Consider the following 19,977-nt stretch of genomic DNA (forward strand, 5'->3'; position numbering starts at 1 on the left):
GGGCTAGACTCCCCACTCTGCACTTACCATATTCCATTAGGGAAGTCATAAACCCTCTCAGGCTTCTGATTACCTCATCTACAGAATGGGTCTAATAGTACTTACCTTGCCAGGTTGCTATTTAGAAAGAGACAATGAGTTTCTAATTGCTCTCTAACAGTTCCTGGAAAAAAGCATAAATGATCCCTCATAAATAAATTACTGTGCATCTATTCAGGGGAAAACACACAGTCATTAGAAAAGGATGATATATACTTATATTTTTTGACACAGAACTATCTCTATGATATATTACTAAAGGGAAAGGATGTTACAAAAATGCTTAATGTCCTGAGATCATTTTATGTAAATACGAATAAATACAAATGTAAAATGTACCCATATATGCATGCACATCTAGAAGGAAGTTCACTAAAATGCTATTTTACCAATAAGTGGTGGAATTTTAGAAGACTTTAAATTTCTTCAGTATTCTTGAATACTGCTTGACTAATGGTAAAGCTATTTGCAAAAGAATTTTAGAGATACTATGCATAATATCAAAATTAATTTGAAAACTTGGAAAAGAAAGCTGTGCAGCTAGTAGTTTGGTCAAATATTTCAAAGCTGAATAAAACAATGACCAATGGGATTGGTGAGCAAGTAAACTGACATTAGTTCATTGTGTCACATATTAATTGACTTTGGGCAAGTACTTAATCTATTTATGTTTTGATTTTCCCATCTCCAAAATAGTTTTTTATTAGATCTACAAGCTCCTCTACAACACTGACATTTTGTCATTCATCAATTCATTAATTTAACAAATATTCACTTATTATATGAGCACCTAAGCATCAGGGATATATGGTGAAGAGGAAAGATGAGGCCTTTGACCTCATGAAGCTTACACTCTAGATGACATCAAATAAGGAAAGAAAGAAACAGTGCTTTCAGATGGTGGGCACTGAGGTCCAAAACATGCGAAGAGCTGGTCATAGGGAATAGTGGGGATCCCTCAGATACAGAGAACTCAAGCACTAAAACTTGGTGAGAGACCAGGCATTTTTGAGGAGCAATAAGACCAGGGTTGGCTGGATCATACACCTCTTAAACTATTACCCTAAACTCATAGAATAAGAAAATATAAAGCTAAATGTTAATTACTGGTCAAAGGACCAAAATATATAGGATGAATTTACTTTATATGCATTTCCAAGAAATTTTAGATATTTGCTACTTCTAAATTCTAAACAAAAGCTATTACCAGTTTTAGCAATGTAGAATACATCTAATTTTGACATTGTATATGTATTTGACTATAATAAATAGTAAATCCAACTCAAATCAAATACATTTGCCCAAAATCATATGGATGGTATTGATGACGATGATAACAGTAGTATCAGATCCTATTTTGATTAGGCATTCATTCTTACAGAAACTCTACGAAATAGGGACTATTATCCCATTTTTGACTTAAGGAAATTGAAGCTGAGAGAGATTAAATCAATTGTCTAAGATCTCACTGCTTTTAAGTGGAAGAGCTGGGATGTTTGGATTTTAGGTTCCTGGCCTTTTCCACTAAATATAGAATAAAGATTCAAGCCATCCTCTTTCTCACAGAGGCTATAACCAGTTAGAAGTAGCCATACATTTTAGAGAAAAGGGATAAGTCTTAACCCATAAGGTAAACAGCTATATGAGGATTGGGCCTTGTTACCTTACCTTTTTCTGGGAACCTCCAGTGGACATAACTCGAATGCAGACAAACAGTGCTTTACAATGTGATCAACTATTATTGTTGTTATTATTACTAATTGGTGCTTAGAAAAACAAGTTAAGGATGCTTAAGCTGTATCTGATTTGCCCTCACAAAAATGAGTCTCCCAATTAAATTATTAGCTTTGATTCTGAGAAGAGACCAATCATGAATTGCTATGAGACCATAACGAAGCCTAGCATTAGCAGCTGTTCAAAGTAAGAGGTGGTGGTGGTTGCGGTAGTGTCAGTGGTTAGACTTTGGGCAAAGCATTTGGTTTCTCTAAGCTTGAAGGCAGATCCATTAGGCTGGATCTAGAGGGTGACAAGTGATGCTAATAGTGGATGCCAGCTGGGCCCAGTGGCTCACGCCTGTAATCCCAGTACTTTGGGAGGCCGAGGCAGGCGGATCACGAGGTCAAGAGATGGAAACCATCCTGGTCAACATGGTGAAACTCCATCTCTACTAAAAATACAAAAATTAGCTGGGCTTGGTGGCACATGCCTGTAGTCCCAGCTACTCGGGAGGCTGAGGTAGGAGAATCACTTGAACCTGGGAGGGAGAGGTTGCAGTGAGCCGAGATCGCGCCACTGCACTCCAGCCTAGGTGACAGAGCAAGACTCCGTCTCAAAATAAAATAAAATAAAATAAAAAATAAAAAAAAGTGGATGCCTCTTGCTTACATTTGTCTAGACTTCTTGGCTATCATCTCCAAAGTGTAGAGATGCTCATTATTTACTTTTAAGACAAAAGAATGGAATGGACCACTCTTCATTATTTGGGAACTTGCCCTGTGCCTTCTATTATGCCTCTGGCTCTCAATTTGCATTGCTCCTAATCTTTAAGGCCTGCTGCCTTTTCAGGACATCCGGGTTCTGCTGTTGCCTAGGTGGCAGCAAACCAGAGCGGCCAAAACTTGGCCCAGGAGCAGGATATAACTGAGTCCTTCCTAAACTGTAGAACCTAGGATAATTTTCTTTATCTTGCTAAGGTTTCATAGGGATTAAATGAAAGAACAAATATACAATGTCTATGATGTATTAGAAACCCAATACATGTTAGCTATTATTGTTATCAGCAACCTACGCCTTTCTCGTATACTGTGTTATATTGTGTATCCATCATGACTCTGATGCATCACGCATGGAGAGCCATCCCTTCCTTGAGATCCTCTCCTTTATCCTCAACAGTTCTCCATATTATCTTCCCTCTTCTTTTTTCTTGTTGTTCTTTTCTGTACCCTTCATAAGTATATCTGTTCTATTTAAGAAGTCTTACTAGTATCTTTTTACCAAATGGCTCTATAAGAAGCCAAGGTCCATAGGATGAAATCCAGTCTCTTTATACAAACTCAGAACAAAGAAATGAGAGAAGGTTAGCAGCATTACACAGTCTTCTGCTTAACGGTGTTTACTGTGAAAGGCCCTTGGATGCAATCAGGAGGAGGCCTTTGCCCTCTTTACAAATTAATGAACAAGTAAATGAACCAGAAGTGGGAGCTTCCAGTTCGAGTTTGTGCAGATAAATTTCTGTACACCTCACACTTCTGCTGGCTTGATATTTACCCAGAAACCAGAGTGAAATAGACCATGAAGGGGATCTACAAAAATCACAAAGCTACAGACTTGAGACTTAGAATAATTATTCACAACCTTTTTTCCTCAGGCTTTACCAGACTGCAGTAGAAATGAGAAATCTTGACAACCATAGCTAAAATGTCATAAAGCTTCTAAGGCAGAATTTCCAGTCTTCTGTGAGGTCTCACCTAAGCATTCCTGGGTGTCAGATGGGGTATCTCACACATAGCCATGAAAATGTACACTTCTGCTCAGGGATATCAATGCTTCATGAGGGGTACTCTGGGGATCACTTTGCTGGTCTACCATCTACTGACTCAAAGCACTGACAAATCCCATTGTTTTACAGAAGCATTCAGAGTCTTCTTCCATTCAGTTTGTGGAGGACACATGCAATAATTAATGCCTAGACCATTTCTAGAGCTCAGGGGCTACAAGGGTAGCCTCTTTTCACCACCTTGTTAACAAGCATTATACCAGGAGCTAGAGAAACAAGATGAACATGGCATTGCCCCTGCCCTAGGGGAGATCATAGCCCAACAGAAGAGCAGGCAACCTTGTCATTGATTACTTAGGAAAGGAAGTCATGGGAACATGGCATTGATTTGGGAATCTAAATCAGATAAATGGGTCAAGGAAGGAGATGTCAAGAGTAGTAAATACTTGGATATGTGATTTGAAGAATAAGATAAGTTAGCTAGATAACAAAAGATCGGATAGAAAATAATGTGAAACTAACACATAAACAAAGGCGTGATTTAGTTTGGGACACCATGGCTAATTCCTATGGTAGGTATTATTTATCAGACTAAGGATTTCTGCTGCTGGATCAGGGTGGGGTGGAAAGGAAGGAGGTACTAGCTTCTCTAAATTTCCTTCAAGGGACAACATTTAAACATATACTATTGGCTAATACTGTTGCTAACTTGAGCTAAGCACTTACTAAAAGTAAGGATGACATCTTCAATTCTTAAAAAAAGAAAATCCAAAAGAAAAAAAGGATGAAAAATTTATTGTTCTAAGCCATGACATGCTTGCTCACCAAGACTGGAATTGCCAGTAGACCCTGGGAGTTTTGTTTCCTAAGAAAACCCTCGTCTGGCCCCATGCTAGCTCAGGCTTCATTTGTACACACTCATCAAAGTCTTGTACTTTCCCTTATCATAGTTTTTTTTTAAATGTGTGTGTGATTTAATTAATTGCTGTCTCTCCCACTAGACTTAAATTCCAGGAAAACAGACTTAATCTGTGTTTTCTCTCTGCTGTATCATTAGTTTCTGGCACAATTCTGATACAGAATAGATGCTTGATAAAAATGTGTTGATATGGCTGCTCCTGTCATTGTGTTTGTGACTTTGGCTACTAGAATTCTGTCTCTATCGAACACTCAGGCATTGTGTTGTGAGAAGGAAAAAGCTGAAGCCATTTGGGCTAGCCAATCTGGCCCCGTACTGAGGGTCACCAGAAAATTTAGAGCATTTTGAAAGCTAAATGCTGAGTAAGAGGCTGACACATTGAACAGTAGCTTTCAATTGACATCTGGGATGGAAAGAGTAAGAGCAAGTTTATTCTAAAAGACATGAGCTAGGGCATGGATGCAGGACCAAACACATAATTTGCAGGGTCAAGTACAAAATGAAAATGTGATCTCTTGTTAAATATTTTTACCGAATTTCAAGATGGCAGCATCAGCGCGGGGCCCTGTGTGACTGCACAGGTTGCACATCCATGAAGCTGTTCTTGCAAACATCTACAGCTAATTTTAAAAATCTGAACAGAAGTTTGCAATTTTGTTTTAAAAAATTGAGGGTATTTTGTATTAATGGGGGAAAAGAGGCTTTTAAATATCTAGGTGTGTTTCTTTTCCCTGCACACTGAGGTTGTCTTCAAAAGAAACTGGACCCTCTGTATCTTTATTCAGTGGGGCTATTCCTATGTTTCCAAAAGATTTAGTAAGGCAGGCTGGTTTGCCCCTCTGTGAACAGTCCTCAACTCTTGCTATACTGCAACATCCAATTGCTCTTCAGCCAAGACCTGGCCTAGATTTGAGGCTCCACAGTCGGAAATGCATGGATTTTGAAGCCCAAATGTGTTCGAATTCCAGTTTCACCAATTATAGTTTAGTGACTTAAAGCAAATTACTCAGTCTTCCTACAGCCTCAACTTCCTCATCTATAAAATGGAAGTGATAATCCCTAGACGCATAGAGTAGCTGGGAGGATTAAATAAGGTAAAAAGAAAGGGTTTAGTACAATAAGTGCACAACAAACGAGGAACAGGTGTCCATATACACACTGCATTATCTCTCTGCTTTAGATCAAAGCTGAATGGAGAAAACGCAGTGCCCGTGAGTCAGGGGACCCCCACTCCGACCCCTGCTCTCTGTCACTGAACCCTATAAATAGCTTAGCTAAGTCACTGTCTCAGTCACTATTCGTTGGGGTGAGGAATGAGGGAGTTGTTGCAAGTGGCTCTTTCTGGCTATATCATTCACAGATTTTCTATTCTTTGGGGTTTGGGTCTGAATTTTCAGCATCCTCTCTGAAGAATCACCCCCACCCAGTGCCGGCGTGCGCCCAGCCTTCCCCCAGCCCTTTCCAGGGCGCTGCCCCCTGCCTGCCCTCACTACTCCAGGCGCTGGCCGCGCAGCCCCGCCCTGGAGCTGCCTCCCCGCCTCCTTCCTCCTCCTGCGGGCGAGCAGAAGCCCGCTCGCCCGCTGCCGAGTGGCAGTCACGACTGTGAGGTCGCCGGCGAGGTGGCCGCGGGCGCGGCGGGGCGGGGCAGGGCGCACTCTCCTCCACGCCCGCGGAAGTGCCGGGGAGGTGGGCAGGGCGGGGAGGGAGAGGGAGCGAGGCTGGAGGAGGGCACGTCGGCGCCTCGGCGAGGATGGGAGTCCCCAGGACCCGGAGCTGAGCAGCCTGGCGCGCGGCGGGCAGGGCGCGCAGGACAGAAGCCTCGCTGTTCCTCCGGGAGCCCAACACCGTTCCCGCGCGGCCACGATGATCCCTCCGAGCAGCCCCCGCGAGGACGGCGTGGACGGGCTGCCCAAGGAGGCGGTGGGCGCCGAGCAACCGCCCTCTCCTGCATCCACCAGCAGCCAGGAATCCAAGGTACCGAGCACGCTTGCCCCCAAGAGAACACAAACTCACTCTCCTCTCCTGTCGGTCCAGCTTTGTCTCTCCTCCTATCTAGCACGGGCGTGGGGGTCTGAGACTTGCTAGTTAGCCCAGGGCTGTAGGACTTGAACGTCCGGTAGGACCCGCTGCTCACGATGCTGGACCACGTCCCTGTGGACCCAGCCTTCCCGCCCACACATTCACACACGCAATTCATGGTGGCTCCGGGTTCAGAGATCGATTTCTTGCGGGGTGGTAGCTTGGTTTTTTTTGTGCTTTGAACCTGCTTGTGTCCAAAGCACGTGTAGGTAGGTATTAGGTGGCTTCTGAAGGCTGAGGGATGGAGACAGCCGAGGGATACTCTTCCAGAAAAGCTTGAGTACTGGGCCAGAAAAGCATGTATGTATCCCAAGGGTCTCAGAGACCTTTTGCTTAACAGGGATCACCCCTACCTTCAGATACTACTCACTAAAAAAGAAAAAGAAAAAGAAAGGGTTTGCCTGCGTTTGTCTGAAAGTTGATGTTCCTCTTGTGAAAGTTAATACTCTAAGAACCTATACTTGCTTTTATGAAAGTTACACTAACACGTATACAAAAAACCAAGCCCGCAGCAGTTCTCCTGTCACTGTTACACTTCCTCTGAAACTCCCGTGGGTGCCAGGCACATGTTTGAAAATCTTGGAAGAGGATAGAGTAAAATGTGGCTGCTAGCAGTGCAATGCCAAATGGCAACTCAGCTGGTGGTGGAAATCCTAAGATGGAGTTTGTAGTTATGTGGATTCTTTTAAGTGTAGAGCTCCTGGCTCTTTATTCTGATTTCATTGTGCGATCCCCAGGCATTTGGGGAATGTGAGGCAGTCCGTGTATACCAGCAAAGGAAAGGGGTTGCCAGTTTATAGGATAGGGACAGGCCAGATGGGGCAAGGAAGACTGCGATCCTGTCTCTCTTCACATGCATCCCTGGAAGCCATTGATATGATCAGGAGGATGAAAATCACAGCCTGAGTGGCTCTGGGGATTTGGTGTGATACTGGGCACTGTACATTTCCCAGCCCCCTGAAGTTAACCATCAATGATGGTAATCTAAGCCCGAAAGCTTTACATCTTATTTATTTTTATTTTTTTCCTGTTACTTACTGGCTGCCAGACCTGGGGTATGTGTGTCAACTTTTCTAAAACTCGGTTGGAAATGAGGGAAAAAGCCCCAACTTCCAGAGACATTGTGAGGAGTACATGAGAGGCCCTAATGTCCACCTGGTATACTGTAAGGACTCAATCATGTTTATCCTTTTCCTTCCTGAGATAAAGAGATGGAATCTATCTCATCTCAAATGATCCACTCCAAAGCAATCTGATAACCCATACACATGCACTACCTCTCCTCAGTCAAAAAGTTTCTGGGTATCATTGCCTCCCATTGAACATCAGTCCCCAGAGTGATATAGGTTAGTGGCCATTTTAGAGGAAAGCTAGAATTCTATAAATGAATGTAGCTGAACTCAAGAGTAAAACTAGTATTGAACTTTTTGAATTGGCCTGTTGCTCTGCAGTAGGCGTGTTCTGGAAAGGGCTTAGCATTTGGGCAAACAGTGGCATGGTTCAAATGCATTATATGGATTTGCTATTTATAGATGTCCTAATGGAAATTATTTGGCAGAGCAAAAGCCACATATGTAATGCCCATAATTATCCACCAATTTATCTGGCTTATGGTTTTGTACAAATTAGTTTTTCTCAAAGTGGTCTATACACCGGATGTGTGTTTCTACATTCCTAAATTTGATGTCATGGCCTCAGTAAGCTTAATTAGTGGAGATGAACTATGGCAGCCCATGAACCCTAGGAAATTGAATGCAATATTGTATGCCTACATGTGAATTTTTCTTGGCATAGCATTCATGATATTCTCAAAGTGATCCATGCCCCTTAAAAAAGGCTAAACTGCTAGTAGGGAGGAACGTGTGGTAAGGTAAGGGAGTAGGATGGCATGACACTGGAGGAGAGGAAGGCTCAATTCATTCTATTCTAGGAAGGCCACATGTTAAAGCTTACTGGCGTTTACAAGGATCTTTGACCCTGAGCATGAGAGCTTGGTGAGGAAAATGTGAACAAGACAGTAATATGCATTCCATCTTACTCTTCCATGAAGTGGTCTTGTTTGTAAAATATCTTGTGGGACAAACATGGTTCAGGCCCCCTTGGCATTAAACTCTCTCAAGGAAGACTTAAAGTTACTTTTTTTAAAGAGTTAGGTTTTTTTGTCTTATTATAAGAGTAACAAATACTCTTTGTAGATATTTGAACAGTCCAGACATAAATGATGAAAAGAAAAATAAATTAGCTCTTGGTTTACCATCCAGAAGCATCTACTAATAAAACTTTGATCTATATCTCATGTCTTTTTAAATCTGTTTATATATTTACATAGTTGAGCGAGAACAATAGTGAGCATCTACTGAATGTTTACTGTAAGTCAGATACAACCTTAATCTTCACAATAGAAGATTCTGTTAATATTTCTATTTTATGGATGGGGAAGTGGAAGCCAAGAAAGGTTAGATCATTTTCACTGTGAAAATTTATTATGGAAAATTTTAATATACACAAAAGTAGAGAAAACAGTATAAAGAACTGTCATGGACCTAATCATGTGGCTTCACAATTAATTCATGGACAGTATTGTTTTATGTATTACCACCACCACCACCACCCTACACATACTGGATCATTTTAAAGCAAATTCCAGACATGAAATAACTTCACCCGTAAATATGCTATCAGGTTACATCTCTCAAGGATAAGGGTTATTTTCATTTTATTTTCATAAACATGACTATAATCCCAATTAGCACATATTTCAGGTGTTTTAAGCTAAGGGCCACTATATTCTTTAGAAGCCCACAAATAGTCTTTGGAAAATCTGTGAACAACCCGAACCAGCATTCAAAGTTGTCCATGTACATGCATATATGCATCATCTAGGGAAAGAATTTATAGCTTATCTCAGGTTCACAAAGGGTCTATAGCTTCAAAGGTTATCTTAATGTCCTTTTTCTCTTTCTTGAGGAAATTGAGGCCCAAAAAGGGGCAGTGACTTGCCTGAGATCACACAGATAGTTACTGGCAATACCCTTACCTACAAACCCCGTCTTGGACTTTGGTATCCCAGTACAGTTTCCTCAGAGCAAATTTCTGTAAGCACAAGTCATAATATAGTTTAATGTAATTGTGGGTTTTCTTCTTTATGAAATTAGTTGAGTTGAATAAGTTTGAAAGCCACTGATGTATCATACCCTTCTATCTTCCCACTAACTATTTCAGAAAGATGACAGCCTAATTTATTTTTTAAGGGCTTGACAGAGACCATTGAATATAAACAAAAATTTCATGTCCCATTATCCCTTATTTCAATGAATATCTTTTCTCCTACTGACTTATTGACAACATAGAAAGCTTGCTAGTGTCTAATGTGAAGGTTTGCTATAAATCTCTTTGTCATCACTTATATGACACAAGGTCACATTTTGATGATATTGAGGAATCACACCTCAATATCATCAATATCAAAGGTGAGATTGACACACCTCTGTGAACATGCCTAATACCTCAAAGCCTCAGCTTCCTCATGGGGATGCTGATGGGGCTGCTACTACCCAATTGGTGTGCTTTTTGTAAGGCCTAAGAATATGTAATACACCTAATATGTTTGTTATAAGCATACACAAACATAAACCATTATTTATTTTCTCTATTTGTTTCAAATCAGATGACTGCTACCACCAGCCAACCCCAAATGTCATCATTGGAATAATTTCAATAACCACAACTGACATTACCATAATGTAACTGAGTTTACCTCTTTGGGCTTTTAGTTATGCTAATTGATTACAATGAGACTTCACTTCAGCTATTTTGCATCCCCAAGAAGATAAGACATAGACTCACCAGCATGTGATTTAGATTTTGAAATGGTGCTATAAGCCACCCAGTGCCCTAGTGGAGCCACGGACCAAAGTGACCCTCATTCCTGGAGGATTATTTCTGAACCTGGACCACAATCCAACCTATGAAAAAGAAATCTCTAACCATGAAGACGTGCCCTGAATCTCCCAGAAAGATTTCTGTGTCCATCTATCAGCAATTATTTATTGAGTGCCTACTTTGTGCCCAGCATATCTCATACATATATGTGAAGCTGTTATTAATAAGGAATTTAACTTCTATTCAGGGAAGAAGATGAAAGAAAACGAAACCTTGGCTTTGCATTGAAATCACCAAGGGAACCCAGGCCATAGGCTAGAACCACTAAGTTGAAATCTCTGAGAGAGATCTCAAGCATCAGTATTTTCTATACAGATGCCCACTGAAAACAGAATTAGAATAGTGTATACATAAACCCAAGTTTTGCTTTTTCTTCCACCTAATGTTATACGTAGTCTTCCTATACTTTTAAGTAACCAACCACACAAATATTGAAGATAGCCTAATATTCCATTTCATTGTTCTACCACATCAATTTCAGCAGTCCCTTCTGATTTCATATTTAGGTTCTTTCCCAGATTTCATACATTTAAAAAATATTAAAATATACATTCCAATGCATAAATATTTGTATATGTTTCTGATCAGTTTCATGACAAATAGAATTAACTAGGTCTGAGTATAAACACTTCTAAGGTATTTTATTCTCATAACCACAGTGACCTCAGAAAAAGTTGTATTATAGTCTTTTTTTTAGTAAACTTTTCATCAAAGTACAACATCATCCCCAAAACTGCACATATTAAAAGTTTATAGCTTGATGAATTTTCAAAAAGATAAACTCTTGACCTTTGTGTGACCACCTCATAAATCACAAAAAGAATATTACTGACACCCCAGAATCTCTCTCATACCCCTTTCTAATCACTAACCTCCTAAAGGTAAATAGTATCCTCACTCTAACAACATAAATTATTTGCTCATTTCTGAACTTTTGATAAATTGAATCATACAATATTTTATGCCTGACTTCTTTCACTCAACATTATGTTGAAATTATCTGTGCCATTGTAGGTAGCAATAGTTTTCATTTTTATTACCATATAACATTCCATTGTATGAATGGAACACAGTTTATTTACCTACTCTACTGATGATGGACATTTGGATTGTTTCTTGTTTTGGGCTGCTATAAGCCATACTGCTATGAACATTCCTTATATATATTCTTTGTGGCACATATGAAGCTCTTCTATTGGGTATATACCTAGAAGTGGCATTTCTGGCTTATAGGGTATACACATGTTCAGCTTTAACATACTTTTCAAAATGGCTGTACCACTTCATATTCCTGCCAGCAATGTATAAGACTTCAATCCACTCTTTGTGCTACCATCGTTTCATATTATCTTTCTCATTTTGGCCATCTAATAAGCAATTAATGGTATTGCAATGTGGTTTTAACTTGTATTTCCCCAATGACTAATAAGCTTAGCAGTTTTTACATGTTTATGGCATTTGATGTCTTCTTATGTAGTTGTTCAAGTCTTTTGCCATTTTTCTATTGGGTTATTTGCTTCTTATTAATTTGTAGGGGTTCTTCTCATATTCTGGATATGAGAACGTTGAGAGAAAAAATGTATTGCAGATATTCTCTTCTACACTGAAAAAAAAAAGGCTTACCTTTTTTCTTCTTCACTGAAATTCCTAATTTAATGTAGTCTAATTCTTACATTTTTCTCTTCTATGGTTGTGCTTTTTGTGTACTGCTTATGAAATCTTTGCCTATTCCAAAGTCATTTAGATATTCTATTATTATTTTCTAGAATTGTTATTATTTGCCTTTCACAGGTGGATTTACAATTCATTTGGAATTGCTTTTTTGGTATGGTGTGAGGTAAGGGTCAAGATTCATTTTGACTATGCCACTTTTGCTATCCATAAATAATTTGACTGTATATGTGCAAGTTTCTATTCTGCCCATTGGCCTCTTTGTCTAACCTTCTACCAGTACAGCACTGTCTTAAATGTAATGATTTTATTTAAAAGGTCTTGATATCTGGTAGCGTAAGCCCTGGAGCTTTGCTCTTCTTTTTCAAAACAGATTTGAGTTATTTTTGATTCCTTGCATTTCCACGTGCACTTTGGAATCACCTGATCAATTTGCACAAAAACACCTGCTGGGATTCTGAATGGAACTGCATTGAATCTATAAATCCATGTGGAGAGAATGGGCATGTTCTCACTCCAGAGTATTTGCTTTTGTCAAGTCCCCTAAGACATCATTGAGAGGAACCAAATTTTGTTACTTTTTCAGTTTGGGGTTTACCAAACCAACTTTTGCTGTCTAAATTCAAGCCTCAAATCTATGTGAGGGCAGATCCATGAATAAGAATTCCAAGATAAATATTTTATATTTACTTATTTATTTTTGTCCACCTTAAGACTAAACTAAGATTTCTTTATCATCAACCTGAGTTGGTAAGAATTTTGTTTCTAGTTCATTTTTTTCCTTCTTTTTTAGATTCTACTCCACGTAGACATCAAAACCAACCTAGGTTTTTCTTGACTGTGGTAAAATATGCGTAATGTAAAGTTTACCATTTTAACCATTTTTAAGTGTACAGTTCTACGGCATTAAGTACATTCACACTGTTGTGCAGCCATAACCACCACTCATCTCCAGAACATCTTTATCATCTCCAACTGTAACTCTGTACCCATTCAACATTAATTACTAATTCCCCATCCCCTTCTTTCCCCAGTCTCTGGCAACTACCATTTTCCTTTTTATCTATATGAATTTGACTATTCCGGGTTTACCATATAAGAGAAATCATATAATATTTGTCCTTTTGTGATTGAATTATTTCAGTTAGCATAATGTCTTCACAGCTCATCTATGTTGTGGCATGTATCAGAATTCCCTTCTTTTTTAAGCTGAATAATATCCCATTGTATATATATACTACATTTTGTTTATCCATTAATGCATCAGTGAATACTTGGGCTGTTTCTACCTTTTAGCTACTCTGAATAATGCTGCTATGAAGTGGGTGTGCAAATACTTGTTGAAGTCCCCTCTTTCATTTCTTATGGGTATATAACCAGAAGTGCAATTGCTGGATCATCTGGTGATTCTATGTTTAATTTTTTGAGAAATTGCCATCCTATTTTCCACAGTGGTCGCACAGTTTTGGATTCTGACGAGTAATGCACAAGGATTCCAGTTTCTCTGCATCCTCACCAATACTTGTTATTTTCTGGGTTTTGTTGATCCTGATGGGTACAAGATGGTATCTCATGTTTAGTGATGTAGATCATGTTTTTATGTGCTTATAGGTTATTTGTATATCTTCTTTGGAGAAATATCTAGTCAAGGCCTTCGTCCATTTTAAAATTAGATTGTTTGGTTTTTGTTGTTGGATTGTAGTATTATAGCTTTCTAACCAGCAAATTTGAATGATGCAGAAGTATTGAATTTTATTATCATTTTACTTACATTTATTCATCGAAAGGGTTATTTTTCATGCCTTTTTATTACTTGTCTTTTTTGGTATGTGAATTATCTGTTCATGTCCTTGTCCATTTTAATACTGTTTTTTCATTTCCTATTGGTTTTAAAAAATTATTTATAAATATTAAATTCAACCTTTCAGATACATTGCTAACATTTTCCCAGATTGAAATTTGTCTTTTTTCAATTCTATTACATTTTCAATGTAGAAGTTTCCTTTTTTATGGTTTTAAATGTCTCAAATTTATTTAGCTATGTTTTCTTCTTTTCAATTATATTTAGAAAGGACTTCCCAACCCTGAGAACAGAAAAATAAAATAACCTGTATCATTTCTCTAGATCCTCAATATGTACTTTTTGCTTTTATCATTTTCATCCATCTGGAATTTATATCATTATGTAGTATGAAGAAATCTATTTTTTCCCAAATGATGAATCAGTATTTCTAAAACCATTTGTTGAATAATTTATTCTTTTTTCACTGATTTGAAATTTTACGTTTTTTATGTAATAAATGGTAATATGTATTAGATTCTCTTTTAGAGTTATCTGTCATATTCTAATGTTTTGTAACTTTATTTTTGCACTTATTATTGTACTGTACTCTTGCATGACTATTATGCTTCAATTTTTGTAGCTTAATAATAGAGTTTGATAATTAATAATACAAGTACCCTCTTGGAAGTTTTATATTTATCTGCACTCAACTTTTCGTTTTCTACCAAATTATAAAAACAATATTTTGAAAGCAATTTCATGAAACTCCTAATATTATTTCAGTGAAATCTTTACAATTATGAGATTTCTTATCCAAAAACATAGTATATCTGTAGTTATTGAAACGCCTGTCTTTTATGCCTCTCATAAATGCTTGAAATTGTCCTCAAATATTTCCTGCCAAAATTCTTTGTTAGCTATTTTCCAACTGTCTTGGTCCATTCAGGCTGCTAAAACAAAATGTCATAAACTGGGTTTATAAACAACAGAAATGTATCTGTCACAGTTGTAGAAGCTGGAAAATCCAAGATCAAGGCATCAGCAGAGGGCCTGTTTCCTGGTTTATAGATGGAATCCTGTAGCTGTGTTGTCTCATGGTGGAAGGGGCAAGGTAGTGCTCTGAGGCCTCTTTATAAGGGCACTAATCCGAATCATGAAGGCTCTGCCCTCATGTCCTAATCACCTCCCAAAGCCCTCGCCTTTTAATACCGTCATACTGGTGGATTAATTTTCAACAAATGAATTTCAGGGGAACACAAACATTAAGAACATAGCACACAGTATTTTATACTCTGACTTACTATTATGAATTACCATTTTTATATTTTTTAACTGGTGATAGCTGGCACATAAGAAATTCATTTTTATATTAATTTTATAATCTAAAATCATTTATATTCCATTTCTTATCCATTAGTAAAGAAATACAATGTTGCTTACTAGTTCAGAGCATGGGCACAGACACAGCCATGTTCAAATCCCATTGTGCCAGTTTAGGATGCCACTTAACAAGCTTTCCTGTCCCTCACTTCCCAGAGATTCACTGTGCTTTCCATAAAGTGAGCATAATAATGTCCTCTGCAGCATTGCCATTCAAGTTAATTAGTGTATGTAAAGTGCTTAACACAGAGCCTGGCATATAGCAAGCAAATTCAGATTATCATAATATGTGAAATAATAATTTTGCCTCTGTAACTATAATTCTCTTTCATTTGGGGGGGAAGGGAGTGCAGTGGGTAGGGACAGGGGTTTATTGCTGGAGAACTTCCAAAAGTATGGTAAATATTAGAGAGATACCAGGCTGGCACATGACTTAACTTTAAATGCCACTAGTGTTTTACTATACATGTAGTATTGTACAGTATTGGTGCTGACAGGTGGCCTTAGCTCTCCTGTAAACCACTAGCCACTCTAGAAGCCACCAAAAGTACTTATACAGCCTGAGAAAAATCATGTGGTGCACTGCAAATTCAACTTAAAGACAAATCCATTTCCAACTAAGTCATTCCTTAAGATCCCCTTCTACACAAATTCCAGACATCCCACTCATGTTCACAATTAAACTAAGACAGTCTTTCTCATTTTAAAGATAGGTCGTGTTCCTAGCTTATGAAGAATTTCCATCAGGAATAGATGTGAAATTGTTTCAGATGACTTTTTGGCAAGTATGGAAGTAATCATGTGATTTTTCTTTTCTTTTTTTTTTTTTTTTTTTTTGTCCTTTGGTCTCTTTATCTGATGGATTATATTAATAGATATCCTAATATTAAACTCTTATTACAGTCCTGGAACAAGTCCTGCTTGGCCATGGGGATTTTCTTTTAATAAACTCCCGGGTTTTGATTGCCAATGCTTTATTATTTTTACATCCACATACATAAGGGAGATTGTTCGATAACTGTCACTTTTGTGTTCTTGGTCAGATTTTATTTTTAAGGCTATGCCAAGTTTCAGAAAATGAATTGGGAACATGTCCATGAATGTTTTTATTTTGTTTTTGTATTTTTATGTATGGAACATTTTATGGAACCCACAAATAATACTCTCTTTGAATGTTTAAAAAAATGCCAATAATATCTAAACCTGTCACCTATCTTAAAACAAAATTTGAAAATTTTTTTCCATTATTAAATTCTATTCCTTTTTTCCTAAATTGGCTTGAGTCAGATTTGTTAACTTGTATTTTACCAGAAAATTATCCATTTTACTTAAATCTTCATAAGATCTCCAGATGGGTTATAGGAGGACAGCCCTGGGAACTTCCTTCAGTCTCGTCCCATCTTCCCTCTCTCTGGCAGGATTCCCATGAATTCCATCATGTTCATACCCTCTTTTATACTTCTCTATTTCTGTGTAACACTGATTCCTTAGATCTGGATTTGAAATCAGAAGCATTAAGCACAAGTGCTCACATCTCCACCTTACCAAAAGAAAGGATCCCTTGCTCCCTCTTTCAATCTCTCACTCTTACTTGGTTCCCCTTTTACTGCTATAGAAGTTGCTCTTTGATCCCACTGGCAATCTGTCCTCTGCCCATCTTTCAAATATTGTTCTTCCCCAGCATTCTGTTTTTCACCCGCAGCCCTTCTCATGCTTCATAATCTCTCTGGGCTAAATCTTACTTCTTATCATTTCATCCACCAGCTGAAAACTCCTAAATCTGCATCCAACCCAGACATCACTCTAGTGATCGCCAGACCAATATATCCTGCTGCCCTTTGGACAGTCTCTGTTGATGCCCACATCTTAAATTCAAGCTACCCTCAATGGAATTTATCATTCTTGATTCAGCTGTCACCCCGTTTCTTCTTCTGTGCTCTCTTTGTTGTTAATTTGTTTTTTCTCATGTGCTCTTCTGCTGATGAGCTCCTCCATAGAGAAGCATCATCCATGGTGTCAACCAATCCGGAAAACCAGAAGCCCTTGATGATCCTGAGCGGGGCGGGCTAAGCAGGGAAGAAGCTGTTTGGCAGCAGGTAGAGAGAAGACAAGATGTCTTGCAGCTCCCAGAGCATGCTTCATTTGTCTGAAAATGAAACATATACCTGTTGCCTGTTTCTAATGGCCCTCATAGCTGAAGTTACAGCCAGCATGTTTTTCTCAGGTCTGGAAGCAATTGAAGGACTGAGGTCAGACACAAAGAAAGGAATAAAGAAGGAAGACCCAGAACACCCCAAGGCTCCCAGGAATGCCACTGCTCCCTTGCCCTCCAAACTGATATCAGGGGAGTGAAAAGCAGCACCAGAGTTCTGTATGCCTTGATAAGATCCCACATTCCCTCCCCTCCCCTCTAACACTCTGTTTTATCAGAACAAGGTGACTTGGAGACCTTGGAAAAGATTCCCATCACACCACTTTCCCAGTGATGTCAATCACTAGAAGCACAAGGCTGCAAGGCCCCTTCCTCTCATAGTTTCCTCTCTGAACATATCTGTACATCTGCTAATCCAGCCCATCGTCCAACCTCCCTACAGGTCGATACCCTCCACTCTACTCTCTAGAATTCACTTTTTAGCAAAATCTTCTTTATCCTCAAGTTCCTCTCTGATGAGTCCTTCACTTCTTATGCTAATATCTAGTCCTTTCCTTTCTTTCTTTTTTTGAGACAGGGTCTTACTGTGTCACCTAGGCTGGAGTGCAGTGGTACAGTCATGGCTCACTGCAGCCTCAGCCTCCCAGGCTCAAGCAATCCTCCCACTTCAGCCTCCCAAGTAGTTGGGACTACAGGCACATACAATCATGCCCAGCTAATTTTTATTTATTTATTTATTTACTTACTTATTTATTTATTTAGTAGAGATGAGGTCTCCCTATGTTGCCCAGCCTAGTCTTGAACTCCTAGGCTCAAGCAATTCTCTCACCTCAGCTTCCCAAAGTGCTGGAATTATAGTCATGAGCCCCATGCCCGGCCCCTGCAGAGCTTTCAGGTGATGGTTGTTTTTTCCTTCATCATGCCTGGTGGCCAGAGAGGCAGCCTTACTGCTGCCTCCAGTTTATTGTCTCTCTTCCCTTAAAACTCACAGCTTTAAAATCCATGCTCTCAGATTCTTCCATTTCCTGCTGTTATCAGCAGTCACCTCCCAATCCCAGGGAGGTCTCATCTGCTAGAGCCAGGCCTACTCTAATTCACTCCAGCACTATTCCTGTTGTACATAATCCTTTATGATTTTTCACACACTGAAGATGACTCTTCCAAATACCCTGACCTCCTGAGTCCTTAAACTTTTCTCCTCCTATGATCTTGTCTTCCACCCTCTTCCATATCAGCCACCCACTTCCATGAGCATTCCCAAGACTTCATTCAAACAAGCATTACACCCTCTCTAGAATCTCCCTTTCAAGCTTCCCACTCTGTGGCTACCATCTAATTCTCTTTAGCCTTTCTATTCCAATAGTATTTCAGCCACACCAGAGCATAAAATCCATTAAATCAGTGAATTTACCCTCCTTTCATTATTCCTCACCCATTTTAGGTTCTTAGATTCTACTTTTCCTTCATTGTAATTACTTCTTTGCAAACACCCTCAACTCCCTTGCTCCTGTGTCCCTTTGTTCAGCATCACCTAGAAAATTCAATCTACCTAAAGCTCATTTTCCACCTACTCTGAACCGGTGCTTCTGGAGAAAGCAGAGAACACAGATGATAAACAAGGTAAAAAAAATGCATAACATTATTTTAGGCAGTGATAAAGCTAAATAGAAGAGTACTTGTGGAATAGGGTAGCATAGGAAGCTATTTTACGTAGACTGACTGCTATGGGCTGAATATGTGTGCCCTCCAAAATTATGTTGAAACTCTAATCTCCAATGTGATAGTGTTTGGACATCAGCCTTTGGGAGATAATTAGGTTATGAGGGTGAAAGCTTCATGATGCAATTGGTGGCCTTATAAAAACAGACAAGAGAGAGCTTCCTTCTTCTCTCTGCTCTCCCTCATGTGAGCGTGTAGCAGAAAGCAGCCATCCATGAACCAGGAGGAAGGCCCTCAGCAGGAAATTGATCATACTGGCACCCTGATCTCAGACTTCCAGCTTCCAGAGCTGTGAGAAATAAATGTTGATTGCTTAAGCCACCCAGTCTGTGGTATTCTTATTACAACAGCTCAAACTCTCTAAGACAGTGACCAGAAAAGGATTCTGTGAAAAAGTAAGTTTTGTTTCAGAAACCAGAATGGAGTAAGGGCATGAGTTGTGTGAAGATCTAGGGGAAGAGAAGAAGCTGGCGGTGGGGGAGAGATCTGAGCAAAGCCTCAGAGGTGGAACAGGCTTGCATTTGTGAAGAGCAGCTACAAATCTTGGGTGCTTCTTGTTGAGTAAACAACAGGAAAAATAACAGGAGGTGAGTACAGACACCTAAACTCACCTACGGAGAGGTGAGTCCAGTGGCTGGATCTTCATTGTCCAATATGGTAGCCATTAACCACATGTGGCTAGTTAAGTTTATATTGAAATTAATTGAAATTTAAAAATCAGTTCCTTAGTAACACTAGCCATATTTCAAGTACTTGGTAAGCACATGTGGCTAGGGGCTACTGTATTAAACACCACA

General features: G+C 39.1%; 1 protein-coding gene and 1 long non-coding RNA gene across 8 annotated transcripts in view; one reads left to right on the forward strand and one right to left on the reverse strand.

Annotated features, from left to right (window-relative positions):
- The window catches only part of LOC124906227 (uncharacterized), a 119,636-nt gene that overhangs the window by 39,585 nt on the left and 60,074 nt on the right, over positions 1-19,977 (reverse strand). The gene's annotated exons all lie outside the window — the stretch shown is intronic.
- STAC (SH3 and cysteine rich domain) overlaps positions 6,178-19,977 on the forward strand; it is a 167,504-nt gene continuing 153,704 nt past the window's right edge. For all 7 annotated transcript variants that reach the window (XR_940496.3, XM_047448767.1, NM_003149.3 and 4 more), the window contains exon 1: positions 6,178-6,428. Coding sequence is in view for 5 of the 7 variants with exons in the window: in NM_003149.3 (NP_003140.1) it covers positions 6,318-6,428 (111 nt within the window). In the remaining 2 variants the exon portion in view is untranslated. The remainder of the gene's footprint in view (positions 6,429-19,977) is intronic.

This window comes from Homo sapiens, chromosome 3 (assembly GCF_000001405.40).
Source record: "Homo sapiens chromosome 3, GRCh38.p14 Primary Assembly".
NCBI lineage: Eukaryota > Metazoa > Chordata > Mammalia > Primates > Hominidae > Homo > Homo sapiens.